The sequence below is a fragment of the Homo sapiens genome, chromosome 17 (genome assembly GCF_000001405.40).
Source record: "Homo sapiens chromosome 17, GRCh38.p14 Primary Assembly".
Classification (NCBI taxonomy): Eukaryota; Metazoa; Chordata; class Mammalia; order Primates; family Hominidae; genus Homo; species Homo sapiens.
In genome coordinates, this window is record NC_000017.11 from 32,350,945 (window position 1) to 32,366,917 (window position 15,973).

Genomic DNA, 15,973 nt, shown 5'->3' on the forward strand with positions numbered 1-15,973 from the left:
TTACCCAACTTTGTAGGACTAAAAAGTGCCTATCTTATTAGGAAAACTCTTACTACAGTGTGGTATTAATGCTTTTTCTGGAAGCGTTAATATTCTTTACATTAAAATTGATTTTATTTACTGTTTTGTACGTAAAGGCGGCTTGTTACAGTACTGCGTTTATGTAACAGTTTTAAAAATAGCTTAAATACGGTTACGAATTTTGTAATGTGATTTTAGGAAAATCTGAGTAGTGAGGTAAGAATTCTGTTTTATTGATGTAAGAATTCTGCTTTATTGATTTTATTGATCTGTGAATTTAAATACATTGCTTGGCAACATAAATTCATACGGAATTGGAAACAACTTTATGGATTGTTCATTCGAAATTATGTGATTATTGTTCACCATATAGTTACTCTTAGATTCTAAATATTGCTAAATTCCTAATCCAGTTATTGCTATCGTCTTCATATCTAGTGAAGTAATTGTCTTGACAGAACCTTAGGGATTTCTTAACTGAACTCTTTCCTGTCCTCAGTGTGCATTTGTAAATGTTGAAATATTTATAACAAAAGTTTCACCGACATCTCTGTTAAACACAGGAATTTGACAAAGTATATTGCTGATTATTGAGATGTGTTTTTTGGGGTGGTGAAGAGAGCTGGCCTTCTAGGAAATTGAAAATACTGAAATAACATGGCAAGTGTAGTCCCTAATTGTGTAATAAATATAAAAAGCAGAGTTTCTATACAGTACCATTTTGGTTTTAGCTGTTCCCATATTGTAATGTTATCCATATGTTTTTATTATAGGCAGTGTCATCATTAGGCTGTCTTTGTGCCTTAACAGTATTGATCAGGTATTGTAATAGAGATTTTGATGATGAGAAGATCCTTATTCAGCACCAAAAAGCAAAGCATTTTAAATGCCATATATGTCACAAGAAATTGTATACAGGACCTGGCTTAGCTATTCATTGCATGCAGGTAAGGATTTTTCTTCTGTATTTATTGTCCGCTTGTGATTTGGAAACAACTTGAAAGAATAATCTTTTTTATTTTTTTGAGTTTCGGTCTTGTCGCCCAAGCTGGAGTGCAGTGGTGCAATCTCGGCCCACTGCAACCTCTGCCTCTCGGGTTCAAGCTATTCTTCTGCCTCAGCCTCCGGAGTAGTTGGGACTACAGGCAGCCGCCACCATGCCCGGCTAATTTTTTGTATTTTTAGTAGAGACTGGGGTTTCACCATGTTGGCCAGGCTGGTCTCGAACTCCTGACCTCAGGTGATCCACCCACCTGGGCCTCCCAGAGTGCTGGGATTACAGGCGTGAGCCACCGCGCCTGGCCGAAAGAATAATCATTTATTTCTCTGACAACTGTAGTTTTGTTTTTTTTTTGTTCACTTACTTACTGCAAAAGATAAGATAGCCAATCAGCATTAAAAAAAACAAAAAATTTGTTCGATAGCCATCAAGACAATAAACAAAACTGGCTTTTTATGTTTAAAGAGGGTTTGTATTTGTATTTAGTTTGATAGTACCTTACTAGGTTAGATTGGTAACATATCGAAATCACTAAATATTTCCTGAGTACTTGGAGCAGAGAACAAGGATCAGCGATTTAGATTTTGTAGGTGGTCTGGCCTTAAGAATTAATACTTAATTAGCAGTCATTACTCACTGCCATTGAAGGATCTGTTATTATCTGTAGCTTGGGGCTAGGCTAATTTCAGCAATTTATTTATTGGACTTCTTTTGGAATGGCAGCATTGTACTTTTTGCTTTTGTTTTTAAGAGATGGCCTTGCTCTGTGGCCCAGGCTGGATTGCAGTGACATGGTTATGGCTCACTGCAGCCTCATATTCCTGGGTTCTAGCCGTCTTCCTGCCTCGTTCTCCCAAAGCCCTGGGATTATGGGCATGAGCCATTGTGCCAGCCCAGAATTGTATTTCATTTAATAATTTCTAGGTTTCGGCTGGGCGCGGTGGCTCACGCCTGTAATCCCAGCGCTTTGGGAGGCCAAGGTGGGCGGATCACAAGGTCAGGAGTTCAAGACAGCCTGACCAACATGGTGAAACCCCATCTCTACTAAAGATACAAAAATTAGCCGGGTGTGGTGGCATGGGCCTGTAATCCTGGCTACTGGGGAGGCTGAGGCAAGAGAATCATTTGAACCCTGGAGGCAGAGGTTGCAGTGAGCTGAGATGGTGCCACTGCATTCCAGCCTGGGCAACAGGGTGAGACTCTGTCTCAATAATAATAATAATGACAATAATTTCTAGGTTTTTAAAGTTCTTTTAATAAATAGCGAGAGCATTGTAATTTATATTTTTTAAGATCTAGTAAGTACCTTCATGTCTCATTCAACATTATTCTACTTTGCTTAGTCCTAGAGCTGTCTGAATTTTTGCTAAATTAGACCTTACAGAAATATGAGATGAGCAAATACCAAATCATTGGAAACTACTATGGGTGGGAGGTAGGGAGACGTGATTTCTCCAGGTTTAAAGATAAATTTATATAGATCCTTTTCACTCCAGATACTTTAACAATAATTTAATATTCATTTTAAAATGTTGACCAGATGTGGTGGCTCACGCCTGTAATCCCAGCACTTTGGGAGGCCGAGGCTGGTGGATCACCTGAGGTCAGGGTTTCAAGACCAGCCTGACCAACGTGGTGAAACCCCATCTCTACAAATACCAAAAATTAGCTGGGCATGGTGGCAGGCACATGTAGTCCTGGCTACGGGGGCGGGGGGAGGGCTGGGGGCGGGGGGCGCGAGGCGGGTGCTGAGACAGGAGAATCACTTGAACCCGGGAGGCAGAGTTTGCGGTGAGCTGAGTTTGTGCCACTGCACTCCAGCCTGGGTGACAGAGACTCTGTCTCCAAAAAAAAAAAAAAAAAAAAAAAAATTGTTAGAGAACCTACTACATGTTAGACTCACAGCTGTTCACTGTTGCAGCCATTAGTTACATGTGGCTATTTAAAATGATATAAATATCTAAATGCTCAGTTTCTCTGTCAAGTAGCTAACTTATATTGGGTAGTGTGGATAAGAACATTTTGTTTTGATTGATTGACAGGGTCTCATTCTGTTGTCCAGGCTGGAGTGCAGATCATAGCTCACCGCAACTTTGAACTCCCTTACTCAAATGATCCTTCCACCTTAGCCTCCTGAGTACCTGGGACAACAATTGTGTACCACCATACCTGGCTATTTTTAAAATTTTATTTTTGTAGAGACAGGGTCTCACTATGTTGCACAGGCTGGTCGCCCAACTCCCAGGATCAATCGATTCTCCCACTCGGCCTCCCAAAGTGCTGGAATTACAGTTGTGAGCCACTGAGCCCGGCCATTTTCTTTAATTCTGAATGAAATAGGGGTTTAAATAGAGATGTATGCTCTGTCAGTTTTTTTTTTGTTTTATTTTGAAACGGAGTTTTGCTCTGTCTTGTGCTCACTGCAGCCTCCGCCTCCTGGGCTTAAGTGATTCTTGTGCATCAGCCTTCCAAATAGCTAGGATTACAGGCATGCACCACCGTGCCTGCCTGAGTTGTATTTTTAGTAGAGATGGGGCTTCACCACGTTGGCCAGGGTGGTCTTGAACTCCTGGCCTCAAGTGATCCCATCTACTTTGGCCTCCCAAAGTGCTGGGATTACAGGCATAAGTCACTGCAGCTGGCCTCTATTAGACTTTTTTTTTTTTCTTGAGACGGAGTCTCTTTCGTCCAGGCTGGAGTGCAGTGGGCGTGATCTCGGCTCACCGCAGCCTCTGCCCTCCGGGTTCAAGCAATTCTCCTGCCTCAGCCTCTCGAGTAGCTGGGATTACAGACGCCTGCCATTGTGCCTAGCTAATTGTTTTGTATTTTTAGTACAGATGGGGTTTCACCATCTTGGCCAGGCTGGTCTTGAACTCCTGACCTCCTGATCCACCTTCCTTGGCCTCCCAAAGTGCTGGGATTACAGGCGTGAGCCACTGCGCCCAGCCTGTAAGACTTTTTAAAAGGATTTTTCTGGCTGCAGGGTTGAAAGTAAAGTGCAGAGTACGGTGAGACCACTTTAGAAGACTTAGAATATTCCAGACAAGAGGAGATGGTGACAGAGACCAGAGTTTGATAGGTTAGATATGGGGTATAAGAAAAAGTGAGGAGTTAAGGGTGGTCTCAAGATGTTGATCTCAAGATGGTCTGGCTAGGTGCGGTGGCTCACGCCTGTAATCAGCACTTTGGTAGGCCGAGATGGACTAATCACTTGATCCTAATAGTTCGAGACTAGCCTGGGCAATATAATGAGACCCTGTCTCTACAAAAAATGCAAAGTTGGGCATGGTGGCACGTGCCTGTGTCCCAGCTACTCAGGAGGCTGAGGCAGGAGGATCGCTTGAGCTGGGGAGGACGAGACTGCAGTGAGCCGTGATAGCACTACTCAGCTCCAACTTGGGCTACAAGAGTGAAACCCTGTCTCAAAAATGTTTATTTTGAGCATATGACGAGATGTGAAAAGCTACAGGGATAATAGGCTTAAGAATGAGAATAAGGGAGTCCTGTGTTAATTTTGAGTGTAGGTATGTTTGAGGTCTATTAAATATCCAGATGAAAAGGTTACCGAAGCAGTTTGATGTACAAGTCAGGAGTTCATAGAAATTAAAACAGGAGATAGAAATTTGGACGCATACAATGTAAGGGTGGCTAGTTTAAGCCGCGCTACCAGATGTCCTTTGTAAGGACTGTAGTGTGGTTGGAAATTAGGTGCTCTCTGCTCTAGGCCACTTCCAACATTTGAAGGTCAGGAGATTAAAAGGAATCGTCTAAGGAGATGAAAGGTAGGAAAACCAAGAGTAGTGCCCTGGAAGTCAATGACGTGTTTCAAGGAGTGAGTTATTTAACTGAGTCAAATGCTGGTTCAGTAAGAGTACTGAGACTGGGTTAATAAGGTCATTGGTGACTTGACAAAGAGCGATTTCCAAGAGTGGTGAGGGTGAAGTGTGATTACGGTGCTTTGAAGAGACAGGGAGAGGAAGCGAAGGCATTCTTAGGGAGTTGCACTTTATGAAGAGCAGAGAAGTGGAGTGGAAGCTTCAAGGTTAGTTGAGAAACTTAGTAACATTATTGTCTGAGTGCCTTTATTTAGTCCTATTTTCACAGCAACCTGTGAGATAGACCTGGCAGTTAAATCATACCAATTTTATAGATGATAAACCCTAAGACATTATTAGTAAGTTAGGTGGTTCCCTGCAGTTTCTCATCAGTGCTTGCTCCTGTCTTTTCAACCAAGACGCTATGACTTTGCTTGGCAGGGTCCCAAGAAATCTAATTCTGGCTGTACCATAATAGATACACCTTTAATTGTTGCCCTTCTCAAAAATGTAGTGAAGATTAGTGTGTATGTGAATGTAATTGTTTATAGAATGCCTGTTGCATCATCTCTTTATTAAGAATAGCAAAATATTCCAAAAAACCTTAGGAAACGGCAATTAAGTCACTTGTTAAGCCGCTTTATCCATAAATATTTTAATTGCAATATAAGGAATAGCTTTTAACAATCAGATATTAAGATAATTTCTGAGTTTGATTTGCATGCCCCAGTTTCAAATCTTTAAGTGAGATACATTGCTAAGAAGAAAATACTTAGCTTTTTGTAGTTACTTTTCTGTTCGTACATGAAAATGTCTTAGGAGGAAAGAAAAAATGAGTATTATTTGGGCAAATATATCTAAGTCATTAGCCTAAATGAGTGCTTCTCAAACTTGAGCATGCATTAGCATTTCCAGAAAGGCTTGATAGTCTAGGCAAAATACTTTGACATCTACTTCAGCAAAATGGCTTGCTGAAGAAACCAAGACTGGCAGGGATATTACATTATTGGCAAAAGTTACCCAGATCTGAAGATTAGAAGCGCTTATGTAGCAAAACAATATAATGAAAAAAAATCCCAGATTTTCAGTGTGTTGCAATAAACATGTTAAAGTGCCTCAGGGCTGGGCATGGTGGCTCACCTCTGTAACCCAGCACTTTAGGACACTGAGGTGGGTGGATCCCTTGAGTTCAGGAGTTTGAGAGCAGCCTGGGGAACATAACAAAACTACCTCGCCACAGAAAATACAAAAATTAGCCAGGCATGGCGGCACGCACCTGTAGTCCCAGTTACTTGGGAGGCTGAGGTGGGAGGGTGGCTTGAGCTTGGGAGGCGGAGGTTGCAGTGAACTGAGATAATGGCACTGTACTCCTGCTTGGGTGGCAGAGTGAGACCCTGTCTTAAAAAAAAAAAAAAGTAAAATGCCTCACGTAACTCATTAGTTACAAGTGATACTGATTGCAAATGTAACTTTTCTAGTTTGTAACCAGAGGCTTGTCTCAAGATCTATACTTAGAAAATTTGCTATTCTAATTATTATTATTATTATTATTATTATTATTATTATTATTATTTTTTTTTTTTTTTGAGACAGAATCTCGCTCTCTTGCCCAGGCTAGAGTGCCGTGGCACGGTCTCGGCTCACTGTAACCTCTGCCTCCCGTGTTCAAGCGATTCTTCTGCCTCAGCCTCCTGAGTAGCTGGGATTACAGGCACGTGCCACCATGCCCGGCTAATTTTTGTATTTTTAGTAGAGATGGGGTTTCACCATGTTGGTCAGGCTGGTCTCGAACTCTTGACCTCGTGATCCGCCCGCCTCGGCCTCCCAAAGTGCTGGGATTACAGGCGTGAGCCGCCCCACCTGACTTTTTATTTTTTATTTATTTTTTTTGGAGACAGTCTCTCAGTATCTGCCCAGGCTGGAGTGCTCACTGCAACCTCTGCCTCCCAGGTTCAAGTGATTCTCATGCCTCAGCCTGTCGAGTGACTGGGATTATGGGTGTGCACCACCACGCCCTGCTAATTTTTTTTTTGTTTTTTTTGAGGGACTCTCCCTCTCACGCAGGCTGGATTGCAGTGGTGTGACCTCTGCTCACTTCAAGTGATTCTGCCTCCTCAGCCTCCCCAGTAGCTGGGATTACAGGCAGACCCCACCACACCCGACTAATTTTTTGTATTTTTAGTCGGGACAGGGTTTTGCCACGTTGGCCAGGCTGGTCTCAAACTCCTGACCTCAGGTGATCCACCCGTCTTGGCCTCCCAAGTGCTGGGATTACAGATGTGAGCCACCTCGCCTGGCTATATTCTAATTCTTAATATGAGGCTGTTTCATAATCTTTACTTAATTCACACTTGAAACATCCCTGATTTGGATAGGACTACTAGTTACTGCTAATAATTGAAGTAATCAAGATTATATGGTAAACTTGAAAGAATGTTTATTGAATGCTTACTGTATGTTAGACATCTCGCCAAGTGTTTTTTATATACAGTATTTAATCCTAAAAACAACTCTAGAAGTTAGCTATTATATAGGTGAAGTAAACTGAGGCTTAGAAGTTCACTGACATGCTTAATGTCACAGAGCTAGTGAATGGCAAAACTGGGAATTGGCTCTACATGGCCTCACTATAGAACATTTATTCTTTATACTAAGCAGTCTTTGATTAACTTGGAATTATTCTTAAAAAAGACTTTTATCTAATGGAAATTGTTGTTGTTAGGTACATAAAGAAACAATAGATGCCGTACCAAATGCAATACCTGGAAGAACAGACATAGAGTTGGAAATATATGGTATGGAAGGTATTCCAGAAAAAGACATGGATGAAAGACGACGACTTCTTGAACAGAAAACACAAGGTAAATATTGGGATAAGTTTTATTTTATTTATTTATTTTTTTTAATTTTTTTTTTTTTGAGACAGAGGCTTACTCTGTCCAGCCGAGGCTGGAGTACAGTGGTGTGATCTGGGCTCTCTGCATCTTCTGCCTCCGGGGTTTAAGTGATTGTTTGTTTGTTTTTTTCTTTTTTGAGGTGGAGTCTTGCTCTGTTGCCAGGCTGGAGTGCAGTAGCATGATCTCGGCTCATTGCACTGCAACCTCTGCTTCCCAGGTTCAAGCCATTCTCTTGACTTGGCCTCCTGAGTAGCTGGCACTACAGGCATGCACTACCACGCCCGGCTAGTTTTTGTGTTTTTAGTAGATACGGGGTTTTACCATGTTGGTCAGGCTGGTCTCGAACTCCAGACCCTAAGTGGTGATTTGCCCACTTTTGCCTCGCAAAGTGCTGGGATTACAGGCGCAAGCCACCACACCCAGCTGATTTTTGTTTGTTTTTGTTTTTGTTTTGAGATGGAGTCTCACTCTGTTGCCCAGGCTGGAGTGCAGAGGTGCGATCTCGGCTTACCACAACCTCCGCTTCCCAGGTTCAAGCAATTCTCCTGCCTCAGCCTTCGGAGTAGCTGGGATTAGAGGTGTGTGCCACCACACCTGGCTAATTTTTGTGTTTTTAGTAGAGACAGGGTTTCACCATGTTGGTCAGGCTGGTCTTGAACTCCTGACCTCGTGATCTGCCCGCCTCGGCCTCCCAAAGTGCTGGGATTACAGATGTGAGTCACCACACCTGGCCTAGTTTTTATATTTTTTAGTAGAAACGGGGTTTCACCATGTTGGTCAGGCTGGTCTCAAACTCCTGACCTCAAGCAATCTACCTGCTGAGGCCTCCCTAAGTGCTGGGATTACAGGTGTGAGCCACCATCTCTCTCCCCTTGTGATAATATTCTTTTTTCAGCCTCACTTAAGCCCAGAGTTAGTATTTTCAATTATAAATTTAATGGTAGGGTAGTTGGAGTGGCTCACACCTGTAATCCCAGCACTATGGGCAGGCAGTGCAGGAAAATTGCTTGAGCCCAGAAATTGGGAGACCAACCTAGGCAATAGAGAATGACACCCTGTCTTTACAAAAAAAAAATACAAAAATTAGCCGGGTGTGGTGGCACATGCCTATAGTCTAAGCTGAGGTGGGAGGATCTCTTGAGCCCAAGGGGTTGAGGCTTCAGTGAGCTGTGAATTCTCCAGTCTGGGCAACAGAGTGAGATCCTATTTAGATAAATCGATTGATTGATCACTTGATAGATAGATAAAATTGAATGGTAGATGATAGATTTATTTGGAATTTAAAATTTGAGCTCTGTTTTTGAAGACATACTTGATTTGTATATATGCAGTACCATTTGGATCATTCCATTTTCTTATATTATTATTCATAATTGAATTCCAAATAGAATTAGCAAGTGTTAAGGCATATGAAAATGAAGGACTCCTATAATTTCAGTGCTTTAGGTAGCTGAGGCCGTAGGATCACTTGAGGCCAAAAGTTCAAGACCTCACCTTTACCCCCCCCCCAAAAAAAAAAAAAAAAAGCCCAGTGTGGTGGCATGTGTCTGCAGTCCCAGCTACTTGGGAGACTGTGGCGGGAGGATCGCTTCAGCCCAGGAGTTTGAGAGTGCAGTGAGCTGCAGTCGTGCCACTGCTGTACAGCCTGCATCGCAGAGCAAGACTTTACTAAAAATTTAAAAGAAAAAATACTGATTTAGGATAATCATTTTACCTTTCATAGGACAGGGAAAGAACGTTAATCTTGTTTAATATAGGGCGAAAACACATTTGAAGAACATAGAGCAGTATTAATTGAATTTTTGGGGAAGAAAAATCTCATGAAGTAATTTTACCCATATATGTATTTTTAAATATTGAATGTTGTAAATAAACTTTCTTAGTTTTTACTCTATGGAAATAATTTTTTTTTTTTAACAGAAAGTCAAAAAAAGAAGCAACAAGATGATTCTGATGAATATGATGATGACGACTCTGCAGCCTCAACTTCATTTCAGCCACAGCCTGTTCAACCTCAGCAAGGTTATATTCCTCCAATGGCACAGCCAGGACTGCCACCAGTACCAGGAGCACCAGGAATGCCTCCAGGTAGCACATAGGATTGCTTAAAATCTAACATTTTTAGGACATTATTGATATTGTATCGAAGTATTACTTTCTTCCCTCTAACTCTTTAATATTTGTTATTATTTTGATTGAAATTCTTGCTTGTAGGCATACCTCCATTAATGCCAGGTGTTCCTCCTCTGATGCCAGGAATGCCACCAGTTATGCCAGGCATGCCACCTGGGTAAGAAAATTCTTTTAATTGCCCTGTAGGCTTGTGCCTAGTAATGATCTTTTTCAATTTGGATGTTATATGAATGAAATGTTACTTTCCATTTTTTGCTTCTAGAAGGTATGGGCTCTATATATCTTGTCTAATAAAGGGATCAACCAGTAAATTTAAGGAATATAAATTTGCCTCTGAGTAATAGATTTTTGGGTTTTAGGGTATATGTAAGCAACCATCTACTTCAATTGCATTTACTGTGATTAAAGTAGTTGGTTATTTATAGATTTGCGTTTCTGAGATTCAGAATTATCTGTGACACTTTGTAGTTGTGACAAGAAGCAGAGAAACTCTGTAAATGATTTATTTGTCAAAGCATCAAAACTAAAATGAATATGAGGTGCTTGTGCCCATCACTTTTACTTAAATATTGTTGGATGTGAGAGGTATACAATACACTTTCCCACTGTATTTTGAAAATCACAGTTAGATTTTGATTTTGTCATACATTTTCACAGATTGCATCATCAGAGAAAATACACCCAGTCATTTTGCGGTGAAAACATGTAAGCATCTCATTCATAATGTAATTCAGGAGGTATAATCATACTGTCATTTTTTTATGTGTGTGTTTAATGGTATCTATTCAGTTGACTTCAGAAATTTTCTAACCTTCCTCACTAAAACTTGCAAGCTAATTAACACAGGTCTCTTAAAGAAGGAAAATAAAACATCTTTTAGGAAACGGTAATAGACCCATATAAACATACTTCAAATGTGCAGTGATTTTCTCCAAACTATTGAAAGTAATGGGACCTGTTAATAAGGGTTAGTATTTAAGAAAGACTATATTCTATGAAATTACATGCTTTATTATTATAGGATGTAATGGAATTTTCTAATCTATTAATAGAAGTTAATCTTCTGATAAAAATTTTAAATCAAGAACTGAATTTACCCACAAAAATTTAAAAAATTTGAAAGAAAATTGACCAATTTATCATTTTTTAAGTGAATTGGACACTGATATTTGAAGGTGAGCTCTTTTAGGGGAAAAAATAAGTGGGTTGTGTTTTTAAGTCATGGTTTAGTGGTAGGTAGTTATTGTAAATAGGCCATCTGGTTTTACTTTTGAGTGTCTTTAATTTTGGTGGTAGTATTTCCTTTCTCTAAAAAAAAAAAGTGTGTGTGTGTGTGTGTGTGTGTGTATATGTATGTATTTGACACAGGGTCTCTTACTCTGTCGCCCAGACTACAGTGCAGTGGCGCAGTCACAGCTTACTGCAGCCTTGACCTCCTGGGCTCAAGTGATCCTCCCACCTCAGCCCTCTGAGTATCTGGGACTACAGGCGCACACTACTGCACCCAGCTAATGTTTAAAATTTTTGCTTTTTTAAAAAGTTATGGTCTCACTTTTTGCCCAGCCTGGTTTGAACTCCTGAGTTCAAGCAGTCCTTGAGCCTTGGCCTCTCAAAACTTCTGGGATTATAGGCATGAGCTGCTGCACCTAGCCAAATAAAAAATCTCATTTCACAGGGTACATTCATTCAATCTTTTTCTTTTCAAAATCCAACACAACTCTGAAATAGAGATTTCTTCTTTTTCTTTAATACTCTGTGGATATTTTCCAAGTGGAAAAAGTGGTGAATTTGCTTTCCCATTACACATATTTTAGATGAGGCCTCTTGTACATATTGAGAGTATATTTGTTCTCAAATGACTTTAAATGTTTTGTCAACATTTTTTTTTTATTGGTAAACCAAAGAGTTTGCTGGGTTTTAGACAATTTATTTTGATAGGATTGTTACAGTGTGTTGTGTGTTCTTTCAGCTTTGATTCATTTCAGTATTAGAGGTCAGATTCAAGTCTTCTATCTAGTGTTGTTTCAGGCTTTAGCCAGAATATTTTTTAATGGTTTATGCTGTTCATTAACTTACTGTTTCTTGAAATTTGCTTTCTAATAGAATGATGCCAATGGGTGGAATGATGCCACCTGGACCAGGAATACCACCTCTGATGCCTGGAATGCCACCAGGTATATGTTAGATAATTTCATTTTAATATGATGTACAGGCTTTATTTCTAAGTTTTTTTAGACGTCTGTGGGCATTAGTATAATGAAATTTAAAAATTTTTGAAAGTTGCAAGTTCCTGTGAGAAGTGTTATATGGACCCTTTTTTAAAAAATGTATTTTGGTAGATATCTCGGCTCACTGCAACCTCTGCCTCACAGGTTCAGGCGATTCTTCTGCCTCAGCCTCCTGAGTAGCTGGGATTACAGGCGCCTGCTACCACACCTGGCTAATTTTTGTGTATTTAGTAGAGACGGGGTTTTACCATGTTGACCAGGTTGGTCTTGAACTTCTGACCTCAGGTGATCCACCCACCTTGGCCTCCCAAAGTGCTGGGATTACAGGTGTGAGCCACCACGCCTGGCTGGCCCTTTCTTGAAGTTTGAAATAGATGATAGGTTTCAAAGCAGCCAAAGTGAGTCACGGCCTATGTGCTGAATCTCACATACTTAGAGCGCTTGTATTTGTTAGGAATGTTTTAGACAAGTAATAGAGAAATCCAACAAACTTTTTTTTTTTTTTTTTTTTTTTTTTTTGAGATGGAATCTCGCTCTGTCACCCAGGCTGGAGCATGATCTCGGCTCACTGCAACCTCTGCTTCCGGGGTTCAAGTGATTCTCCTGCCTCAGCCTCCCGAGTAGCTGGGAGTACAGGCGCCCACTACCACGCCTGGCTCATTTTTGTATTTTTAGTAGAGATGGGGTTTCGCCATGTCGGCCAGCTGGTCTCAAACTCCTGACCTCAGGTTATCCGCCTGCCTTGGCCTCCCGAAGTGCTGGGATTACAGGCGTGAGCCACTGTGCCCAGCCCCAACAAACTGTATTAAACGGTGTAGGCATTCATTGTCTCAGTCAACAAAAAAGTGGTAGATTCAGTGGCTCAATGATATTTATTAACCCATGCTTTTTTTGACTTTGCTCACCTTAGCTTTTTTTCCTCAGAAATGTCATTTGGTTATAAGACAGCTCAGACAAGAAGGGGTGTCGGTTGTAGTGCACTCTCCATTTTCTTTTCTTCTTTTTTTTTTTTGAGACAGGGTGTTGGTCTGATACTCGTGCTGATGTGCCGTGGCACGATCATAGCTCACTGCAGCCGCAGCCTCCCAAAGTGCTGGGATTACAGGTGTGAGTGAGCCTCAGCACCTGGCCTCCTTTTTCTTCTATTTGGAACCAAAATAACTTTCCCAGAAGCTCTTTAGCTCCTTACGTATTATGCTGTGAGGGAACCTGGGAAATTAAGTATATAGAATTTGGCCTATAAAGCAGGAAATACAGCACAAGGAAAGGGATTTGGTTGGCCAGCAAGATGTGCCACACGAGGCTATTAGTTGTTTTTTTTTCTTTTTTTTTTTTTTGAGATGGAGTTTTGCTCTGTTGCCCAGGCTGGAGAGCAGTGGTGTGATTTCAGCTCACCACAACATCCGCCTCCTGGGTTCAAGCGATTTTCTCCTGCCTCAGCCTCCTGAGTAGCTGGGATTACAGGAGTGTGCCACCCCACCCGACAAATTGTTGTATTTTTAATAGAGATGGGGTTTCACCATGTTGGTCAGGCTGGTCTCGAACTCCTGATCTCGTGATCCATCTGCCTCGGCCTCCCAAAGTGCTGGGATTATAGTCGTGAGCCACTGTGCCCGGCCCTAGCCTGCGTTTTATGTTGGTGTGTTTGCAATCCATAGCATATTTAGAGTACTGAAATGATAGTTGATGTAAATGGACACAGGAAAAATAAAGCATCAACAAACTATGAATAATTGCCAGGCAGTTCCATATACATTATGTTGTGGTACATATTTAGGTATTTAAAAGAATACAGAATAATAATTGATGTTCATTTGAGAATGTGAAGTCATTAAAAGTTTTGTCATGTTGAGGAAGTTTAAAGTATGTAGTAGTGATGTGTTTAACTTTGGAAAAGTTTTTATTGTTCATGATATTTGATTCATCAGTTTTTACTGTAATTTGCACTAGGGTTCAGGGAGTATTTAAATATCTGTCTTGTAGCTGATTGAAATAATTCTTTTATATATTGCAAGAAGTTTGCTAAATCAGTAGGACCAGTAAGCATAATTGCCAAATGTTTTGCCCATGCAGCAGGGTCTAGTGTTATCTTCCACTTCGTAAAATTCTGAAGCAGTACAAAGGAAGGGAAAATTTAAGGTAAGAATGTTGCATGGGGCAAATGCCTAAGTTCCTTGGATTTAGTCGAGTCATTGAGCAGTTAATTGTTAATAACTTTGTAGTATAGAAGCGTTTTTTTCCACACTAAATTTTTCAGTGACTCAATTTCCCCAAACATTTCTTCTCTGCAGGTATGCCCCCACCTGTTCCACGTCCTGGAATTCCTCCAATGACTCAAGCACAGGCTGTTTCAGCGCCAGGTATTCTTAATAGACCACCTGCACCAACAGCAACTGTACCTGCCCCACAGCCTCCAGTTACTAAGCCTCTTTTCCCCAGTGCTGGACAGGTAAGGTGAAAATCCTGAAAAGGAGTGCACTTATATTTAAAGATAAAGTACAGTTGTTTACAGAAGTCTTTGAAATTTTCATAGGTCAATTTTTTTGTTTATAATATTTTTAATATTATTTATTAAATATACTAAAAGGTGGCTTATCCACTTCCATGTTTACACACTGATTTCCTCTACCCATAAAAGGTTGAACGGAGCCAAAGTTAGTATGTTACTTTTTCATAGCTGTGAACCCTATTTATTCTTAGTTTTTTTTTTTTTTTTTTTAAGCTAATGAAAGTTTAGTATCTGGAGCGTTTAGAAGTTTTCCTTTACTGACTAAACTGAATGGAAGGACACCAAAGTCAAAGATTAGCATTCTTAAGACGGTAGCAAATCATTTGTCAGGCTCTGCCTCTAGTACGGAACAGTGATGAGCTACAATGCCGCACTTGTGCTAAAATGGCGTAATTTAATGGCTTTTGACCTAGGCACACTGGTATTTCTTACTGGTCTTTTTTCAAAGCTTTTAAAAGTCTTTTTTCCAGAGCATAAGTGAAAGATGCTTCTGTTCTATATGGTATACACATGATGGTTAACACCTTTGCTTTTTTTCCTAGTTTCATTGAGAAGCAGATTCAGATTTAATTTATTCAGAATTTAGATCGGGATGTATGTTTATTCATTTTCTTTTTTAGATTATCCCTTAGATTTTTTTAAATTGCTTTTTTCTGTTTGTGGGTGCTAAATTAAAAGCATTTTCTTTAAGTGCCTTTTGTTAAGCACATTAACCTAGCTTTTATGGTGGGTGGAAATTTTATGTATTGAGAGATGTAAAACTTTTGGCAAAAATCTTTTGTAGAGAATCATTGATACAGAATTGGATTGAAGTGTCAGTATTTGTACATCGTTATTCTCAGTTTCAGGTATCATTCTTGAAATAATGCAAAACAGTAGTTTTAGAAAAGAAACTAGTTAACTAGGTTTTATTGATTTAGAATTAAAATTTTGAGGCTCATACTTTAATTTTGTTTATTGTAAATGCATTAACTGCCTGCCTTTTAAAATAAGTGACATTTGATTGCATTAAATTTTGCATTTACAAATATGCAATCTACTAAAAAGTCTACCACATGGCTTATTTTGACCCATTTGTTTGGAGACTTTTCATTGTTTCCTTTCTTTTATGCTACAGATGGGGACACCTGTCACAAGCTCAAGTACAGCTTCATCCAATTCAGAAAGTCTGTCTGCATCTTCTAAAGCTCTGTTTCCTAGCACAGCACAAGTACGCAGGAAGTTGCAGTTTAAAATTGTTAAAATGGCTTTATAACTTAACCCTTTGGACCCTACTTAAAAAATGAATATTTTTCCAAAAATATACTGTGTTTACTTTTTTAAAGCAAAATTAATGCTATATAAGTCAAATGGTATTTAAAAATTTGAAT

The 15,973-nt window shown here is 40.0% G+C and overlaps 1 protein-coding gene across 3 annotated transcripts in view, besides 3 other annotated features; it reads left to right on the forward strand.

Moving 5' to 3' along the window:
* The window catches only part of ZNF207 (zinc finger protein 207), a 31,729-nt gene that overhangs the window by 788 nt on the left and 14,968 nt on the right, over positions 1 to 15,973 (forward strand). Inside the window, exons 2-9 of one of the 3 annotated variants that reach the window (NM_001098507.2) lie at positions 842 to 968; positions 7,559 to 7,697; positions 9,654 to 9,821; positions 9,948 to 10,023; positions 10,524 to 10,571; positions 11,970 to 12,040; positions 14,386 to 14,543; positions 15,721 to 15,813. In NM_001098507.2, coding sequence (NP_001091977.1) covers positions 842 to 968; positions 7,559 to 7,697; positions 9,654 to 9,821; positions 9,948 to 10,023; positions 10,524 to 10,571; positions 11,970 to 12,040; positions 14,386 to 14,543; positions 15,721 to 15,813 — 880 coding nt within the window. The remainder of the gene's footprint in view (positions 1 to 841; positions 969 to 7,558; positions 7,698 to 9,653; positions 9,822 to 9,947; positions 10,024 to 10,523; positions 10,572 to 11,969; positions 12,041 to 14,385; positions 14,544 to 15,720; positions 15,814 to 15,973) is intronic. The other 2 variants (NM_001032293.3, NM_003457.4) reach the window with 2 other exon arrangements.
* Positions 1,470 to 1,979: an enhancer, noted in NCBI's record as "H3K4me1 hESC enhancer chr17:30679433-30679942 (GRCh37/hg19 assembly coordinates)". NCBI's record gives its function as "activates a minimal SCP1, AML or CMV promoter by ChIP-STARR-seq in primed H9 embryonic stem cells {active_cell/tissue: H9 hESC(primed)}" and the evidence as "EXISTENCE:reporter gene assay evidence [ECO:0000049][PMID:30033119]".
* Positions 3,296 to 3,797: an enhancer, noted in NCBI's record as "H3K27ac hESC enhancer chr17:30681259-30681760 (GRCh37/hg19 assembly coordinates)". NCBI's record gives its function as "activates a minimal SCP1, AML or CMV promoter by ChIP-STARR-seq in primed H9 embryonic stem cells {active_cell/tissue: H9 hESC(primed)}" and the evidence as "EXISTENCE:reporter gene assay evidence [ECO:0000049][PMID:30033119]".
* Positions 6,733 to 6,933: a silencer, noted in NCBI's record as "peak2801 fragment used in MPRA reporter construct". NCBI's record gives its function as "represses an SCP1 promoter by STARR-seq MPRAs in K562 erythroleukemia cells {active_cell/tissue: K562}" and the evidence as "EXISTENCE:reporter gene assay evidence [ECO:0000049][PMID:32103011]".